This window comes from Homo sapiens, chromosome X, assembly GCF_000001405.40.
Source record: "Homo sapiens chromosome X, GRCh38.p14 Primary Assembly".
NCBI lineage: Eukaryota > Metazoa > Chordata > Mammalia > Primates > Hominidae > Homo > Homo sapiens.
The window spans coordinates 149,779,584-149,797,017 of NC_000023.11; the positions used below are offsets into that span (position 1 = coordinate 149,779,584).

Sequence of the window (17,434 nt, forward strand, 5' to 3'; positions counted from 1 at the left end):
GCTCTCCTAGATTCATAAACAGATGAAGGCACCCGAGCACTCATGAAAAGAATTTGTGAGGCAAGTGTTCACACACATCGCAGCAAATGTCATAAACAGATAATCACATATCCAACACAACAGTGGATTAAACGAACAAGCTGCCTGTATGCATGGAATAAAAATAGGATTAAATGTTAGAAAAAAATTCAATTCTAACTCCCTGCATACAAGATAGACTAGAAAAAAACATTCAGTCATGACAATGGGTACAGGAAAAGGCTCTGAAATGAATTCTATGTAAGTACAAATTAACAATGTTTAGCAAACTAACATTAAAAGGAACTTCCATTTCCTAAAATTGGCAGCAAGCATACATAAATGTGAAATGTCAGAAGCTCTGCCATTCACGGCAGTGACAAGTCGTTGACATATGCTGTCACCACTACCACCTACATCTGCAGTGAATATCAAAATGAAAAAGAGCCAGAGCTATGGATGTCAAGATGAAAATGAGATATGAAGACTGCAAAGAAATAGAGTATTTGTTAACTATATGATTATCTACATAGAAAATTCAAAGGAATAGACACATTGAATATTCAAATGAATAAAAGACTTCAGAAAACATCATACAGAAGGTCATTAAAGCAAAATCAAGAGCCTTGCCACACAAAAGCAACTTAGTATATAAAATAGAAAATAGAAAATGCACCATTCACAGCAGCATTAAAATCCAAAATGTAAATAAGAAGAGCCTGACAAGACCTTTATGGAAGCAACTGTGCAAAGTTGCTGATAGACTCAGGAAATAATCTCAAGTAAATGGATCTGTATACCATATTCCTTGATGGGGAACAGAATATGGCAAAGATGTAAATGCTACTTAAATTAAATACAGAGTGAGTGCCTTAACTGTCATTGCCAAAGTGACAACCAAGCTCAGGTTGCTGTGCTCTGCTCCCCAAATCAACCCCGGAAAAAATATAGGAGGGAAAAGATTAAAAAAAAAAACCCATCAAAACAGAGAAAGCCCTGGGGATGACTGAAGACTGTGCTAAACTAGTACTTGTGTTTTGGGTCCAGGGAGCAGCAGGGAAATCGAGGAGGTCTGTACCCTGCATAGATGGCAGATTACAGGATGGATAGGAGAAAGTGTTTAACATTCCACCCCACATCATCGCGCAATCTGAGGCAGCACCACAAAATCTGATGCCAGTAGCCCTGGAGTAATATCAGGACACCAGGAAATTTGAGTTGATTGAGACACTATGGCTCCAGAGTTCTGCTAACAACCACCTGAAACAAACTTAGTAGGAGAAGACCAGCCTTCCAAAAAATTATTATTTTAATGGAATATAAAGAATGAACTAGGAATAGAATAGTAAGTATGTGTGAAGGCCACATACTATGAGTAGATATTAATAAAATATGTGTGCATATATATAGTATAAAGTCTAGAAATACAAACGAATATGTAGCTAAAGATATATACATGTAAGTAAATATAAGATATAAAGATATATATGCGTGTATGTATACATATAAGCATAGATGTATATAATGTCTAAAACAGGTATGTATATAAACGTAGATATAAACAAAATGTACAATACCATATATAATGTACACATACAGTGTAAAATTTATTACCATGTGAATGAGAATTAAAATATGAAAATCGCTAATCTGGACTCTGCTGTGTTCGATACCTTCAAAACACATGGCTTCTCCAAATCTCTTGCTGCTGCTCAGCCTCTTCCGTGTAAAAATAAATCTTTTAGGACAAAAGGTTTGCAAAGTCTAGCTCTGGCTGGGGAGGAGCCCCCATGGGATGGTGTGCATCTTCTCTCACAGGTCCTACAATCACAGGTGCTGCAGCCCCCCAGGGAGCATCTAGCCTGGGACCCGCAGCCATTCTCTGCAACGCGTGCAGCTGGGCAAATGCTCAAAGGTGACATAAACAGATCATCTCCCACACATCACTTCATCAAAGAGCCAGGAGCCAGGAGGAGAACCCTCCTGAGAGGGGACTGAAGGTCCAACCTCCCCACATAGAGGGGCCACAGAATCCAGCTCAGCCCTTCCTGTCAGCCCTGGAAGACCCTGGCAATGTTGTCACCCCGACCACACCCCTCCCCTCACTGCCACCTCATGTGACTGGGAGTCAGAGACTTGGTCCGAGAGGAGCAGACCCAATGGGCAGAGAATGGGGATCGAGACCCAGGCATCAAGGTCAGGACCCCCTGAGGGATGACTGAGGGCCCCTATCCCCATCCCCACCCCTACTCCGCCAGAACCCGGTTCAGCCCCTACTGGCAACCCAGGGAAGCTCCAGGCTTGGGGGCCGGATGTGACGTCACTGACGTGCGCACTGGGGGTCAGAGAGAAGGGAGAGGCCTCCTTCTGAGGGGCGGCTTGATACCGGTGGAGGTAAGCTGGCCGAGGCTCTGTGAGGAGTCAAGGTGAGGTGCTGAGGGAAGACTGAGGATGTCCCCACCCCAGATAGAGGACCCGAAAGAACCAAGTGCCGTCTCTGCTCCCAGCCCTGGACCACCCGGGGGCCGATCTGGGGCTGACTTGTGAGGCTGGGCCGACCCCCTCCCTCCGCCGCTCAAGCTGCTGGGCACTCTGGAGTGAGAGCTTGGTGTGACCAGGGCAGGGCTGGTTAGGAGAGGGCAGGGCCCAGGCTCTGCCGGGCATCAAGGCCAGGACCCTGAGGGAGGCTGGGCCCCCCCAACCCAACCATGACCTACAGCCCCAGGTTCCCCAGCCCCATCCTCAGCTCCACTCTACACCCCACCCCACCCCACCCCACCCCACCCCAAACTCCACCCCACCCCCCCAACTCTCCCGCGGCAGAATCTGGTTCCGCCCCTGTTGTCAACCCAGGGAAGCCCCAGGTGCCCGGATGTACGGCCAGTGACTCCCACACTGGGGGTCAGAGAGTAGCGGGGGCCTCGCTGTGAGGGGCGGGTCGATATCGGTGGAGGGAAGCGGGCCCAGGCTCTGTGAGGAGGCAAGGTGAGACCCTGAGGGAGGACTCAAGACCCCCCGCCCCAGATAGAGGACCCCAAATAATACAGCGCCGCCCCTGTGCCAGCCCTGGACCACCCCGCGGGGTCGGGCGTATCAGGCTGGGCCCAGGCTCTGACTGGCATCAAGGTCAGAACCCTGAGGGAGGGCTGAACGCCTCCACACCCCTAACCCAGCCACCACCACCATGACCTACAGCCTCAGGTTCCCCACCTCCATCCTCACCCCCCCCCCCACTCCACCCCACCCCCAAGTCTCCCGTGGCAGAATCCGGTTCGGCTCCTGCTGTCAACCCAGGGAAGCTCCGGGTGCCCGGATGTAAGGCCTCTGACTTGCGCACTGGGGGTCAGAGAGTAGCAAGGGCTTGGTTCTGAGTGGTGGCTGAAGATCGGCAGAGGGAAGCGGGCCCAGGCTCTGTGAGGAGGCAAGATGAGACGCTGAGGGAGGACTGAGGACGCCCCCACTCCAGATAGAGGGCCCCAAATAATCCAGCAGCACCCCTGCTGCCAGCCCTGAACCACCCCGGGGGCGGACTTCTCAGGCTGTGGGCCACCCTTCGCCACCCCACCACTTAAGCCCCAGGGGACTCTGGGTCAGAGCTTGGTGTGACCAGGGCAGGACTGGTTAAGAGAGGGCAGGGGCCAGGCTCTGCCAGGCATCAGGGCCAGGACCCTGAGGGAGGGCTGAGGCCCCATAGAGGGAGTCACTGCCCCTGCAGTGGACCCTGGGAAGTTCCGGGCATGGCGGTCAGGCAAGCGGATCGTGATATCTGCATCCTGGGCTGACCGAGGGAAGGGGCTTGGTATCGTTAGCGTGGCCGCGGGAGAACAGAGGGAGGGCCCAGGTCCTGCTGGGAGACAAGGGAGGCCTGAGGGGACCCAGTACCCCAGGACAAGGGGCCCACCCCGCCCCTATCTGAGACCGAGGCCCCTCCTCATTCAGCCTCGGGAATCCGACAGATGGAGACTCAGGTCCACAGAGGGGTGGGGCCCAGCCCTCTAGGAGACCAGGGAAGGAACAAGACGGAGGACAGAGGGGACCCCGGAGTCCAGCTCAGTGGGGATCTTGGCCTGGGCGATCCCGGGCACGGTGGCCGCATGTGGTGCATTGTGGCTGGTGGGATCGGGTGTCAATGGGAACAGGGCTGTGGTATGAGGAGTGGGGCCTCAGGTGAGCAGAAGGAGGAGTCCCAGAGGCCTGAGGAAGGATTCACCAGACCTCTCATCCCAGACCTAGGAAACCTGCCCCTGCCGTCAGTCTTGGAAGGCCCCAGGCAGGACGGTGAGGAAGGGAAGTGCCCCCTCCACCCCCAACACACACTTTCTCAAAGAGGGTCTAAGGGAGAAATTGGCCTTGGTCTGCAAGACTCACCTCTGGTTCAGCAAAATGGAAGGGGCCAGATTCTGTCAGAAGCAAATATGAATACCTAGAGGACACCCAGACCGACGAGGCCCCCTGGAACCTGCTCCTTTGGTCAGCCTTGGGTATCTCATGCATGAGTGACCATGAGGTGGCCCCTCACTTCTGCCTCCCGGGTCTCCGGGAGGTGGGGGCCTTGGTCCGAGGGGTTTCCTCAGCTCAGCAGAGGGAGCCACACCTGGTCAGCACAGGGTGGAATCCAGGGTCTTCCAGGAGTGACGGGGAGGAAGTTTGGTGAGGACTGAAGGTAAGAAGGTACCTCCACGCTCTCAAAAAAGAAAGGACCTCACAGACACTGGTGTCACCTGTTCTCAGCCCCAGGTGGCCCCAGGCAGGAATGGCATGAGGCATGCTCTCATTTCTCCCACGTGACTGGGGGTGAGAGGTCTCAGGGAGGTGAGTACCTTGATCCCAGGGGGCACTGAGAGATCCAACAGAGGGCTCCACACCTGGTCAGTAGAAGGAGGACTCCCAGGATCAGCAGGACCCAAGGTGTGCCCCCTTCATGAGGAATGGAGGTACCCCCAACGCAGAAAGAAGCCACCCCACAGAGTCTAGGTGAACTCTGTTCTTAGATCTGGGGGCGGGGGGGGGCCTGATCAAGGATGGTGCTAAGTGGCAAGCTCATTTGTACCACGGCAGGAAGTTGAGGAACCCTCAGGGGGATGAGGCGTTGGTGTAAAGGGAGATGTCTGCTCATCTCAAGGGTTTGAGGGTCGAGGAAGTAGAAGCCCCAGCAGGAGTAAAGATGAATAACCCGCAGGAGGACTTTGGAACACCCACCTCATACCTGAAGGGTTCAGCTGGTGGGGTCAGCCCCGGACACCCCACGCAGGGGTGACATATGTGGGGCCTCCTCACCTCTGTTTCTGGATCTCAGGGAGGTGAGGACTTTGTTCTCAGAGGGTGTGTGTGGACAAAACAGGGAGGCCCTGTGTTCGACAGACACAGTGGTCCCAGGATTGGAGAGCAGTCCAGGTGAGGAACCTAAGGGAGGATCGAGGGTACCTCCAGGCCAGAGAAACTCTCAGATCAAGAGAGTTTGCCCTGCCCCTACTGTCACCCCAGAGAGCCCGGGCAGGGCTGTCTGCTGAGGTCCCTCCTTTATCCTGGGATCACTGGTGTCGGGGAGGGCTGGCCTTGGTCTGAGGGGGCTGCACTCACGTCAGCAGAGGGAGGGTCCCAGGCCCTGCCAGGAGTCCAGGTGCAGACTGAGGGGACCCCACTCACCAAACACAGAGGACCTAGCCCCACCCTGCCCCTTGTGTCAGCTGAGGGAAGCCGCTGGGTGGATGGACTCCCCTCACTTCCTCTTCAGGTGTCTCCTGGAGATAGGGCCTCAGGTCAACAGAGGGAGGGTTCCAGACCCTGCAGGCATCAAGATGAGGACCAGGCAGTATCCTCACCCCAGGACACATGGACCCCATTGAATTTAGACATCTCTTACTGTACTTCCGAGGAAACCCTGGGCAGGTGTGGGCAGATGTTGGTTGGGGCATGTCCTTCTGTTCCATATCAGGGATGTGAGCTCCTGATCTGAGAGACTCTCAGGCAAGTAGAGGAGTAGAGTCCAGTCCCTGCCAGGAGAAAGGTCAGGGCCCTGAGTGAGCGCAGAGGGGACCATCCACCCCAAAAGTGTGTAGAACTCAAGAGTGTCCAGCCCGCCATCTTGACAGCACTGAGGGACCGGGGCTCTGCCTGCAGTCTGCAGCCTAAGGGCCCCTCGATTCCTCTTCCAGGAGCTCCAGGAAGCAGGCAGGCCTTGGTCTGAGACAGTGTCCTCAGGTCGCAGAGCAGAGGAGACCCAGGCAGTGTCAGCAGTGAAGGTGAAGTGTTCACCCTGAATGTGCACCAAGGGCCCCACCTGCCCCAGCACACATGGGACCCCATAGCACCTGGCCCCATTCCCCCTACTGTCACTCATAGAGCCTTGATCTCTGCAGGCTAGCTGCACGCTGAGTAGCCCTCTCACTTCCTCCCTCAGGTTCTCGGGACAGGCTAACCAGGAGGACAGGAGCCCCAAGAGGCCCCAGAGCAGCACTGACGAAGACCTGTAAGTCAGCCTTTGTTAGAACCTCCAAGGTTCGGTTCTCAGCTGAAGTCTCTCACACACTCCCTCTCTCCCCAGGCCTGTGGGTCTCCATCGCCCAGCTCCTGCCCACGCTCCTGACTGCTGCCCTGACCAGAGTCATCATGTCTCTCGAGCAGAGGAGTCCGCACTGCAAGCCTGATGAAGACCTTGAAGCCCAAGGAGAGGACTTGGGCCTGATGGGTGCACAGGAACCCACAGGCGAGGAGGAGGAGACTACCTCCTCCTCTGACAGCAAGGAGGAGGAGGTGTCTGCTGCTGGGTCATCAAGTCCTCCCCAGAGTCCTCAGGGAGGCGCTTCCTCCTCCATTTCCGTCTACTACACTTTATGGAGCCAATTCGATGAGGGCTCCAGCAGTCAAGAAGAGGAAGAGCCAAGCTCCTCGGTCGACCCAGCTCAGCTGGAGTTCATGTTCCAAGAAGCACTGAAATTGAAGGTGGCTGAGTTGGTTCATTTCCTGCTCCACAAATATCGAGTCAAGGAGCCGGTCACAAAGGCAGAAATGCTGGAGAGCGTCATCAAAAATTACAAGCGCTACTTTCCTGTGATCTTCGGCAAAGCCTCCGAGTTCATGCAGGTGATCTTTGGCACTGATGTGAAGGAGGTGGACCCCGCCGGCCACTCCTACATCCTTGTCACTGCTCTTGGCCTCTCGTGCGATAGCATGCTGGGTGATGGTCATAGCATGCCCAAGGCCGCCCTCCTGATCATTGTCCTGGGTGTGATCCTAACCAAAGACAACTGCGCCCCTGAAGAGGTTATCTGGGAAGCGTTGAGTGTGATGGGGGTGTATGTTGGGAAGGAGCACATGTTCTACGGGGAGCCCAGGAAGCTGCTCACCCAAGATTGGGTGCAGGAAAACTACCTGGAGTACCGGCAGGTGCCCGGCAGTGATCCTGCGCACTACGAGTTCCTGTGGGGTTCCAAGGCCCACGCTGAAACCAGCTATGAGAAGGTCATAAATTATTTGGTCATGCTCAATGCAAGAGAGCCCATCTGCTACCCATCCCTTTATGAAGAGGTTTTGGGAGAGGAGCAAGAGGGAGTCTGAGCACCAGCCGCAGCCGGGGCCAAAGTTTGTGGGGTCAGGGCCCCATCCAGCAGCTGCCCTGCCCCATGTGACATGAGGCCCATTCTTCGCTCTGTGTTTGAAGAGAGCAATCAGTGTTCTCAGTGGCAGTGGGTGGAAGTGAGCACACTGTATGTCATCTCTGGGTTCCTTGTCTATTGGGTGATTTGGAGATTTATCCTTGCTCCCTTTTGGAATTGTTCAAATGTTCTTTTAATGGTCAGTTTAATGAACTTCACCATCGAAGTTAATGAATGACAGTAGTCACACATATTGCTGTTTATGTTATTTAGGAGTAAGATTCTTGCTTTTGAGTCACATGGGGAAATCCCTGTTATTTTGTGAATTGGGACAAGATAACATAGCAGAGGAATTAATAATTTTTTTGAAACTTGAACTTAGCAGCAAAATAGAGCTCATAAAGAAATAGTGAAATGAAAATGTAGTTAATTCTTGCCTTATACCTCTTTCTCTCTCCTGTAAAATTAAAACATATACATGTATACCTGGATTTGCTTGGCTTCTTTGAGCATGTAAGAGAAATAAAAATTGAAAGAATAATTTTTCCTGTTCACTGGCTCATTTTTTCTTCAGACACGCACTGAACATCTGTTATTCGGAACACCCTGGGTTAGTAGTAGAGATGCTCGGTAAGCCAGACCCACCCCTTTGCCATAGGGTGGTGAAGTCTAGGGGCTACAATCCTAAAATTAAGGTGGTGCCATGTCCTCTAAGAAGTAGAGGAAAATAAAACATGGGTGAGGGTTTGGGGCTCTAGATGACAGCAGTCGAGTGTATATGCCCTGAGCCAGGGCCCTTTGGGCTTTGGGAAACTGCAGTTCCTTCTGGGGGAGGTAATTCTATTGAAGCTGGGTGGTGCCAGAGCCAGATTCTCAGAGGATGAGAGAAAGGCCTGGAATGGACGACTGCTCAGCAGTTCCTTTTGGATAGTGGATGAACAGAGAAGAGTCTCCACCTGGGGCAGGAATAGAAGGAAATCGTCCCGCGCTCTTGTCTCGGTGCGCTTGAACACAGTGCAGGGGCTAGGTGATGGATACCTATCATCTGCAAGGGTTTCCTGCAAGATGAGGGTGAATCTCCCAGAAGGGAAGCCCAGAAGTCATTGGCCAGGTGCTTTTCTGCCTGTCTGGGAGAGCCAGAGTTGATCGTATTTAAAAGGCATTCTAATCAAGTTATCTCAGGTGGGATTTGACCAATTGTGAGCAAAGGCTAGATTTCGAGTGTTAACAAAATAAGTGAAAACAGAGTCTCGGATCCAAAAGCAGGTGGGAGAGAGGAAAGGAGTTGATCCTCGATTCAAATTCTAGGAGCTTTGAGCTGCATTCAGCTGCGCAAGACTCCAGCACACCCAAATTTTGAAGCACGTTCGCTAAGAGGAAATACTTAATTTTATTGACGAAACTTCCTGTTGGGGCTGATTATCCCATGTCCTACTGAGCTGTATATTCTCTGGTAAGTCTTGGAGAACAACAACATTTACGAAATCCCAGAGTGCTAGGGTCTAGGGTCAAATAGTATTAGATATGACAGCCATCCGCCATTCCTTAAACTTCTAACTTAATGCCAGGCCCTGAGCCAGATGCTTCACTTACATTGCACGCACTCTAACCGTCCTAGTGGAAGGGCCTCATCATACCTGCTTCACAGATGAAGAACCAGAGGCTCACAGAACTTGGGTATTTCCCAGGATCAGGTGGCTAGTAAGGAACAGAGCTGGAACCGGATCCCTGATCTGAATTCCTCTAGAGCCCGTGCTGTTCCCACTCCCCTGAGCCGGAGGCAGACCTCCTCACTGGCACTTCATTCCTCTTCTCAGCAATGCATCATGTCTCTCAGGCAACAAAAAGAAGGACCCTGAGGCCAAGGTACTAAATGCAGGCCTAAAGAAGGTGCCAATGAGCATCAAATACAATTTGGGGATGGCATGCCGGGGGTCCCCTGGGAACTGTCTGCTGGGTGCTGCCTGTTGAGCACCTACTATGCAACAGGTTGTAGGAGCGCCTACAAATGCTCATCCACATCTTTGATCTTCTCTTTCCTGGGCACAAGGGACGAATACATAATCAGCACTTCTGTCTGGCATCAGCACGTTCCCGTGTCACAGTGCCCTTCCCCGGTCACTATCATGTTTCCTCCCTTCTGACTCTGCGACCTGACCTGCTGCTTGCTCTTCACTGTTGCCTCCCCCTGGAGGCTGGGCAGACCCCCCTGCCCTTCCTGCAACATGGAGCATTCCTAGCCCTTGAAGTAGTCCCCTGGTTCTCGCACGGCTCGCCCTTAGTCCAGTCCCACAGCCGCAACCATTCTGGACGGTGACTTTAGACACTTGGTCCTCCCTCCCTGGGAGAATTCTACTCTGTGTATTCCCAGTGGGCTGTGAGAAGAGTCCAATTTGACCCATAAGCTCCTGGTTGGGTTGCAGCCCCCAGGATTGAGAGAGTATTTTCGCAGTCAGTTGCATATTTGTAGTAGGATTTTATTGAGTTTGTTATCTGAAGCTGGGGACAGAACACGCAAACAGACGGATGGTGCTCAGAAATTCCCCTCCTAAGAGGTAGAAGAGGAGCAGCCATTTCATGAAGCTGAATTCTTACAAACCCTGGGCTCCTCCCAGGAGGGGAAAAATGGTTCCATGGCGAACATGCCAGCTGGAGTTTCAAAAGAATATTTAACCAGCCTTTCACTGCTTCCTGTCTGGCATCTGTCCCCAGGAACATGCCGGCTTTCAGCGTGACTAGTGGCACCTATACAGGTGTTCAGGTAAGAACAGTCATATGGAGGGTAGCAGAGATGATGGGTAAGATTCTGCCCCTGCATCAGATGGAAGGAGGAAATCCTCAGCTTCCTGAGCTGATAGATGGTGTGGCAAAGGGAAGTGCAGAAAATGCTATGGAGTGTACAAGGTGAACTCTCCATGCTGACCTTACAGGATCCTCTTCAAATCAGATGGGTTAATGCAGTGATCCCCACCCTTCCTGGCACCAGGGACCGGTTTCTGGAAGACAATTTTTCCATGAGCACGGGGTGGGGGTGGGGCATTGTTTCAAGATGATTCAAGCACATTACATTTATTGCGCACTTTATTTCTATTATTATTGCATACTCACCGTCGTGCAGAATCAGTGGGAGCCCTGAGCTTGTTTTCCTGCAAATAGATGGTCCCATCTGGGGGTGATGGGAGACAGTAACAGATCATCAAGCGTTAGATTCTCATCAGGAACACAAAACCTAGACCCCTCACGTGTGCAGTTCACAATAGGGTTCCCGCTCCTATGAGAATCTAATGTCGCCACTGACGTGACAGGAGGTGGAGTTCAGCTTCACCTGCTTGCCCAACCACTCACTTCCTGCTGTGCAGCCCAGTTCCTATCCATGGCCGGGGGTGTTGGGGACCCCTGGGTTAATACGTTTGAAAGCATCTGTAACATAGCAGACACGTCGAGCATTTCAAGGCAAATCTGGTCTTCTCAGAAACTTCTCTAAGAAACATTGTTGTTGTCACAACAGTTAATAGTTTCTGTAAAGTGTCCTCTACTTCTAGCTGTGTTCAACGCTGTTGCTTCTCCAAAACCACGTTTTCTGGGGTTTGGCTTTGTTTTGTGAGACAGAGACTCACTCTGTTGCCCAAGCTGGAGTGCAGTGGCAAGATCACAGCTCACTGCAATCCCTGCCTCCCAGGCTCAAGCCATTTTCGTACCTCAGTCTCCCGAATAGCTGGTATTAGAGGCATGCACCGCACGCCTGGCTAATTTTTGTATTTTTAGTAGAGACAGGGTTTCACCATCTTGGCCAGGCTGGTCTTGAACTCCTGGCCTCAACGGATCTGCCTGCTTCTGCCTCAAGAAGTACTGGGATTACAGGCTTGAACCACTGCACCTGGCCCAAACCCATGTGTTTTAAATTTCTTAGATTGACTTCGGGCCTTTCGGCTTGTCTGATCTACTTAAAGATCTAACTTTTGATTCCATCAGTATTATTTATTGTTTTTCTAAAACTTCTGAAATCTCAATTTCATTAATTTTTCTCTTCTTGTCTATATTATCCCCATCGTTTTGCTCACCTTAGGTTTAATTTCCTTTTCCTTTTCTAGCTATTTGAGATCAAAATATACATATTTGAGTCTTTTATTACTTTCTAATATAAACATTTCAGTACATAAAATGTCCCCTAGGCACATTTTAGCTAAATTGCAGATATTTTAAAACATCACATTTCCATTTTTATTTATTTGAAAATATTTTCTAACCTTCCTCAAGAATTTTTTTAAACATGGATTAGTAAAAATGTGTTGTTTATTTTAAAAATACTTAAGGACTTTACAGATATTTCCTTTGTTATATTTTGAATTACATTCCATTATAGATTTTAAAAAGATACTTTGTACAATTCCAATTATTTTAAATTTTTTATGGGTTGTTTTCTGGTCTCTTTTGGTAAAAATTCCACACACACTTGAAAATACCATATAATCTACCGTCGTTCTGAGGAGTGCTCACTAAAATCTAATCAGCTCACATTTGTTCTTTGTTGTTCAGCTCCTCCTACACCCTTGCAGAATTTCTGTCTACTTCAATCATTTACTTGGAGAGGACTGTTGCCATCTCCAAATATCATTGTAGATTTGGCGATTTATCCTTGCAGTTCTATCAGATGTAGTTTCTTGCATTTTGAAGCTCTGCTTTTAGGTGAATTAATAGTTAAGATTATTACGTCTTCTCCCCAAAAGAAACCCCCTCCATGTGCAATTCATTTATAGCTGTACCCACCACTGCGCGCCGAACCCTGACAGCCACTCATCTGTACTCCATCGTTTCAGTTTTCTCTTTCAAGAATGCCAGGTAAACAGAATAATAGAATATGTAACTGGTTGAGACTGGCTCCTTTCACACAGCAAAACACCTTCGAGTTTGAAACACATTGTTGTGTGTATCAGTAGTTCATTCTTTTTCATTGCTGAGAAGTATTTCATAGTAAGTAAGGATGCCCCAAAATTTCATTTCCCATTTACCCATGGAAATACATTTGTATAATTTCCAGGTTTTGGCAAATATGACTGGAGCTGCTATAAACATTCACGTACATAGGCTTTTGTGTGAACATAAATTTTTCTTTTTCCCTTAGATGAAATCGCTGAGTCACATGGCATGTGTTCATAAGTAATTACCAAATCATTTTCTGCAGTTGTCCCGTTTCATAACTGCCACTAGCAATGTATGAAATTTCAAGTTGTTCTTCATCCTTGTTAGCACTTACAAGTATCTCGTTAAAAATTTCAGTCATTTTCAAATATGTGTTATGGCATCTGATCATGGTTTAATTTGCATTTCTCTAATAGCTGTGATGTAGAATAGTTTTTCATGGGCTTATTTGTCATGCGTATGTCCTTTTGGGTGAAATGTCTATTGATATGTTTTGCCCTTCTAAAAAATGTGGTTGTTTGTGTTAAATGAACTCATGGGAGGCCATTGTTTTGCCCTAATCTCTGGCCCCAGACCCCAGCAGAACAGACAAAATCAGAATAGTGTCCCTTGTACTAATTGCCATTCATCAAAGTGAACATTGAAACGGGCCAGTTCTCAAAAAACTAAAAACAGAATAGTCACAGCAACCAATAACGAGGAGCCCACCGTACCTGAGCAGGCACGATAAGAAAGTTTTCTCTGCTTTAATCCTACAAGGAAATCAACTTTGAAATCACCAAACCACCTTTTGTTCCCTGTTTCTACTTTTTTCGTCCTCTTCTGCCTATAAGCCAACGTCTTTTGCTCAGCACATAGGGACACGCATTCAAGTTGACGGAGAGAAAAAATGCCCATTCAAGAATCATAAAGAAAAGCCAGTTAGATCTTTGAACAAAATTTGGTGAAACTTTGTGTTTTGACATGTGTTCTAAGTTTTGAGATTTTGGGAATCTTTATACAATTTTCATAAAAGGCCTTTGGTGTATATATGATTTGCAAATACTTGTGAATACTTCGTTTGGCTTTTTAGTGTCTCTTCAGTGTCTTTCTCAGAGCAAAAGTTTTAACTCTGAGGAAGTCTAATTTATTGTTTCTTTTCTTTATGAATCACACTGCTGGTGTCATGTTTAAGACCTCTTTGCCTCACATCAGGCTACTAATATTTCACCCTGTGTTTTCTTTAAGTTTTTTCTTGCTGTTGTTGTTTGTTTGTTTGTTTGTTTGTTTGTTTTTTGAGACGGAGTCTCACTCTATTGCCCAGGCTGGAGTGCAATGGCAGGATCTCGGCTCACTGCAACCTCCGCCTCCCGGGTTCAAGCGATTCTCCTGCTTCAGCCTCCCGAGTAGCTGGGATTGCAGGTGCGCACCACCACGCCCAGCTAATTTTTATATTTTTACTAGAGATGGGGTTTCACCATGTTGGCCAGGCTGGTCTTGAACTCCTGACCTCGTGATCTGCCCACCTCGGCCTCCCAAAGTGCTGGGATTACAGGCGTGAGCCACTGCACCCGGCCTTCTTTAAAAGTTTTATAGTATTTCATGTAACATTTGGATCTGTAATCCACTTTGAGTTAATTTTTGTATAACATGTGAGGTTTTGGTCAAGTCTTTTTTATAACACATGGATGTTCAGTTGTTCCAATACCACTAATTGAAAAGACTAATATTTTTCCAATAAATTGTCTTTACCCCTTTCTAAAACCTCCATTGCTATATTCGCGTGGATCTATTTATGGATTCTCTGTTTTAATCCATTAATCTATACGTGTATCCCTTAGAAAATTCCATAATGACTTGATTGTTTTAGGCTTATGCTAAATCTTAAAATTGAGTGGTACGATTTGTGCAATTACTCTGTGTTTTGAAAATTGTTTTAATTATTTCAAAACCTTTACCTTTCCGTATGCTTTTTGAATCAGCTTGTGTACAAGTACAAAAAAGCTTGCTGGTATTTTACTGGAGTTACATTGGATCTATGGATCGCTTTGTTACAGATCACATATCTTCACTGAGTCTTCCAGTGAATGTACATGCTATGTCTATTTAGTTGGGCCTTCTTTGAATTTTTCATCAGCATTTTGTAGTTTTCACCATCCTGATATGTACATGTTTTGTTAGATATATACCAAAGCATTTCATTTTTAATTTTATTAAAATGGCTATTTTGTTTTTGTTTTTGTTTTTTGGGTTTTTTTTTGGTAAAAAAAATCAAGAATGTATAGTACAGAATCTACAGTGTAGCTGGAGTCAACAAAGCCTTTGAGGATAATATGCTGTATCAGCTGGGCCTCAAATGATTATTTGGAAAGGAGGAAAGGGCACACAAGAAGTGATACTAAAAGAGCAAAGTGATTGAGATGGGATTTTTTTTCCAGGGAATCTCTTTTAATTTTAAATTACTATTATTACATTTTAAGTTCTGGGGTATATGTGCAGAACCTGCAGGTTTGTTACATAGTACAGAACGTGCAGGTTTGTTACATAGGTATCCACGTGCCATGCGGCACTATTCACAATAGCAAAGACTTGGTACCAACCCAAATGTCCAACAATGATAGACTGGATAAAGAAAATGTGGCACATATACACCATGGAATACTATGCAGCCATAAAAAAGGATGAGTTCACGTCCTTTGTAGGGACATGGATGAAGCTGGAAACCATCATTCTCAGCAAACTAACACAAGAACAGAAATCCGAACACCGCATGTTCTCACTCATAAGTGGGAGTTAAACCATGAGAACACATGGACACAGGGAGGGGAGCATCATACACTGGGGCCTGTCAGGGGGTGGGGGGCTAGAGGAGGGATAGCATTAGGAGAAATACCTAATGTAGATGACAGGTTGATGGGTGCAGCAAACCACCATGCCACATGTATACCTATGTAAAACTGCTATGTTTAAAAAAGTTTTCCAATTTTCTTAAATTCTTATGTTCACTCGGGTATGTAAGGAGCTAGATGGCTCTCTGCCTCTGACGCAAACAAGATAAGAAGCTGAACAAATTGGAAAACAACAACTTTTCTCTGATCCCTCAGAGAGCTGAGGCCATAGGGCTGATTGCTGACCCAAAACGGAAGAGACAGTAGATACAGTCAGCCACAACTTTGGAGAGCAGAAGCTCAGGAGCTGAATGCCCAGAAACAAGGACCAGGATACGAAAACCTCATCTTTATAAGACGAATGGTGGAGGGCTCACTATGGACAAATTTGAGAACTAAAAACTCCTGGGGGCACCATCCAGAAGGCTACCACAGTTTCCAGAGTTTCACCTCTGGGAGCCCTATCAGGTTCCCCCAGTGAGGACCAGAGGGAGAAAGGAGTCATTCGAAAATATGCCCAGAGTATTCTGTTCTTCAAACGAGGGTCTGCCCTCAAGAGAAACTGTTTTACCAGAGTCTGTCCTACTTGGTTTTTTTCTAGACTCTCATCAACACTGGGTAAGGAAAACACCCAGCTACAACATTCTGGCCCCTTAATGTCTGTCCAAGGAGAAAACAAAACAAAACTGAGAAGCACTAGTGAAAGCCACAGCCCGGTGTACACTGACTCAAGCCTGCCATGTAGTCATAGGAGGATAGAAGTCTTCCCCTCCCTCTGCAGCTCACTGCCACATCAACTGGGGAATGAAACTGAAAGAACTGTGAGTGCCAGACCATAGTGAGCAGGTCTCCAAGGAAAACCAAACACAGCCAAGGAGGAAAAGTGAAGGACACCACAGGGAGGTTTAGCCTCTGACACCTACAGCTACAGCAAACAGTAAACACAGCCAGATGAAGGTAAACCTCACACTAAAGGCCTATTTAACTCCATTCTTTTCATCTGACACATCGTGGCAAGTTTGCAAAAGGAAATTTCAAAGCATACTAATAGACAAAAAAAAAAAAAAAAACACACACACACAGTGTGAAGACAAAGAGCAGGTATCAGAAACAGACTCAGATATGATAGAGATGTTGGAATGATCTGACTGGGAATTTAAGACAAGTATGAGTAACACGCTGTGGGCCCTAATGGAAAAAGTGGATAATATCCAAGAATAGGTAAGTACTGTAAGTCAAAATATGGAAACTCTTCAAGAACAACTGAAAAGGGGCCTGTAATCCCAGGGCTTTGGGAAGCCAAGGTGGATGGATCACTTGACATCAGGAGTTTGAGACCAGCCTGGTCAACGTGGTGAAACCCCGTCTCTACTTAAAAAATAAATAAATAAATGAGTACAATACAAAAATTAGCCAGGTGTGGTGGCAGGCGCCTGTAATCCCAGCTTCTCGGGAGGCTGAGGCACAAGGATCGCTTGAGCCTGGGAGGCAGATGTTGCAGTGAACCAAGATTGTGCCACTGCACTCCAGCCTGGGCAACAGAGCGAGACTCCTTCTCAAAAAAAAAAAAATGAATGAATGAAAAGGAAATGCTAAAAATTAAAAAAAGAATGAATGAATAAATGAAAAGGAAATGCTAAAAATTAAAAAAATATATAGACCATAAGGGAAATGAAGAATGCCTTTGTTGGTCTCATCAGGGGACTGGACAGGGTGAAAGGTACAATCAGAGAGCCTAAGGAAATGCAACAGCAACTTCCCATTTTTATTGCCATTATATGAAGTACGATAATACGATTATCGTGTGTTGAGCTTCTACCTTGCGACCTGCCTGCACTCACTTATTTGAGGAGTTTTTGTGCAGTTTCCTTGGTATTTTCTGCATAGGCAGTTGTGTCTTCTGAGGTTGGAAACAACATTATATATTCTGTCCCATTCAAGATGTCTCTTATTTATATTTCTTGATTGATTTCACTGGTAAGAATCCCACTACCTTTCTGAATAGGAGTGGTGAGAGGGGACATCCTTTTCTTG

The 17,434-nt window shown here is 47.6% G+C and overlaps 1 protein-coding gene across 5 annotated transcripts; it reads left to right on the plus strand.

The window, feature by feature from the left end:
* The first annotated feature begins 2,293 nt into the window (after positions 1-2,293).
* Positions 2,294-8,154, plus strand: MAGEA9 (MAGE family member A9). Of its 5 annotated transcripts, none has more exons than XM_024452381.2 (4): positions 2,294-2,444; positions 6,174-6,260; positions 6,419-6,487; positions 6,563-8,154. In XM_024452381.2, exon 4 carries the CDS (start codon positions 6,628-6,630, stop codon positions 7,573-7,575), a length of 948 nt encoding a protein of 315 aa, XP_024308149.1. In that variant the 5' UTR covers positions 2,294-2,444; positions 6,174-6,260; positions 6,419-6,487; positions 6,563-6,627; the 3' UTR covers positions 7,576-8,154. The 5 variants fall into 5 exon arrangements, with proteins under 5 accessions (XP_024308149.1, NP_005356.1, XP_005262392.1 ...); NM_005365.5 differs by having other exon boundaries at positions 2,347-2,412; XM_005262334.4 differs by lacking the exon at positions 2,294-2,444 and adding an exon at positions 2,900-3,003.
* Positions 8,155-17,434: the final 9,280 nt, after the last annotated feature.

Excerpts from the sequence above, each read along its gene's own strand:
- MAGEA9 (XM_024452381.2), top strand. The coding sequence starts at position 6,628 with ATGTCTCTCGAGCAGAGGAGTCCGCACTGCAAGCCTGATGAAGACCTT.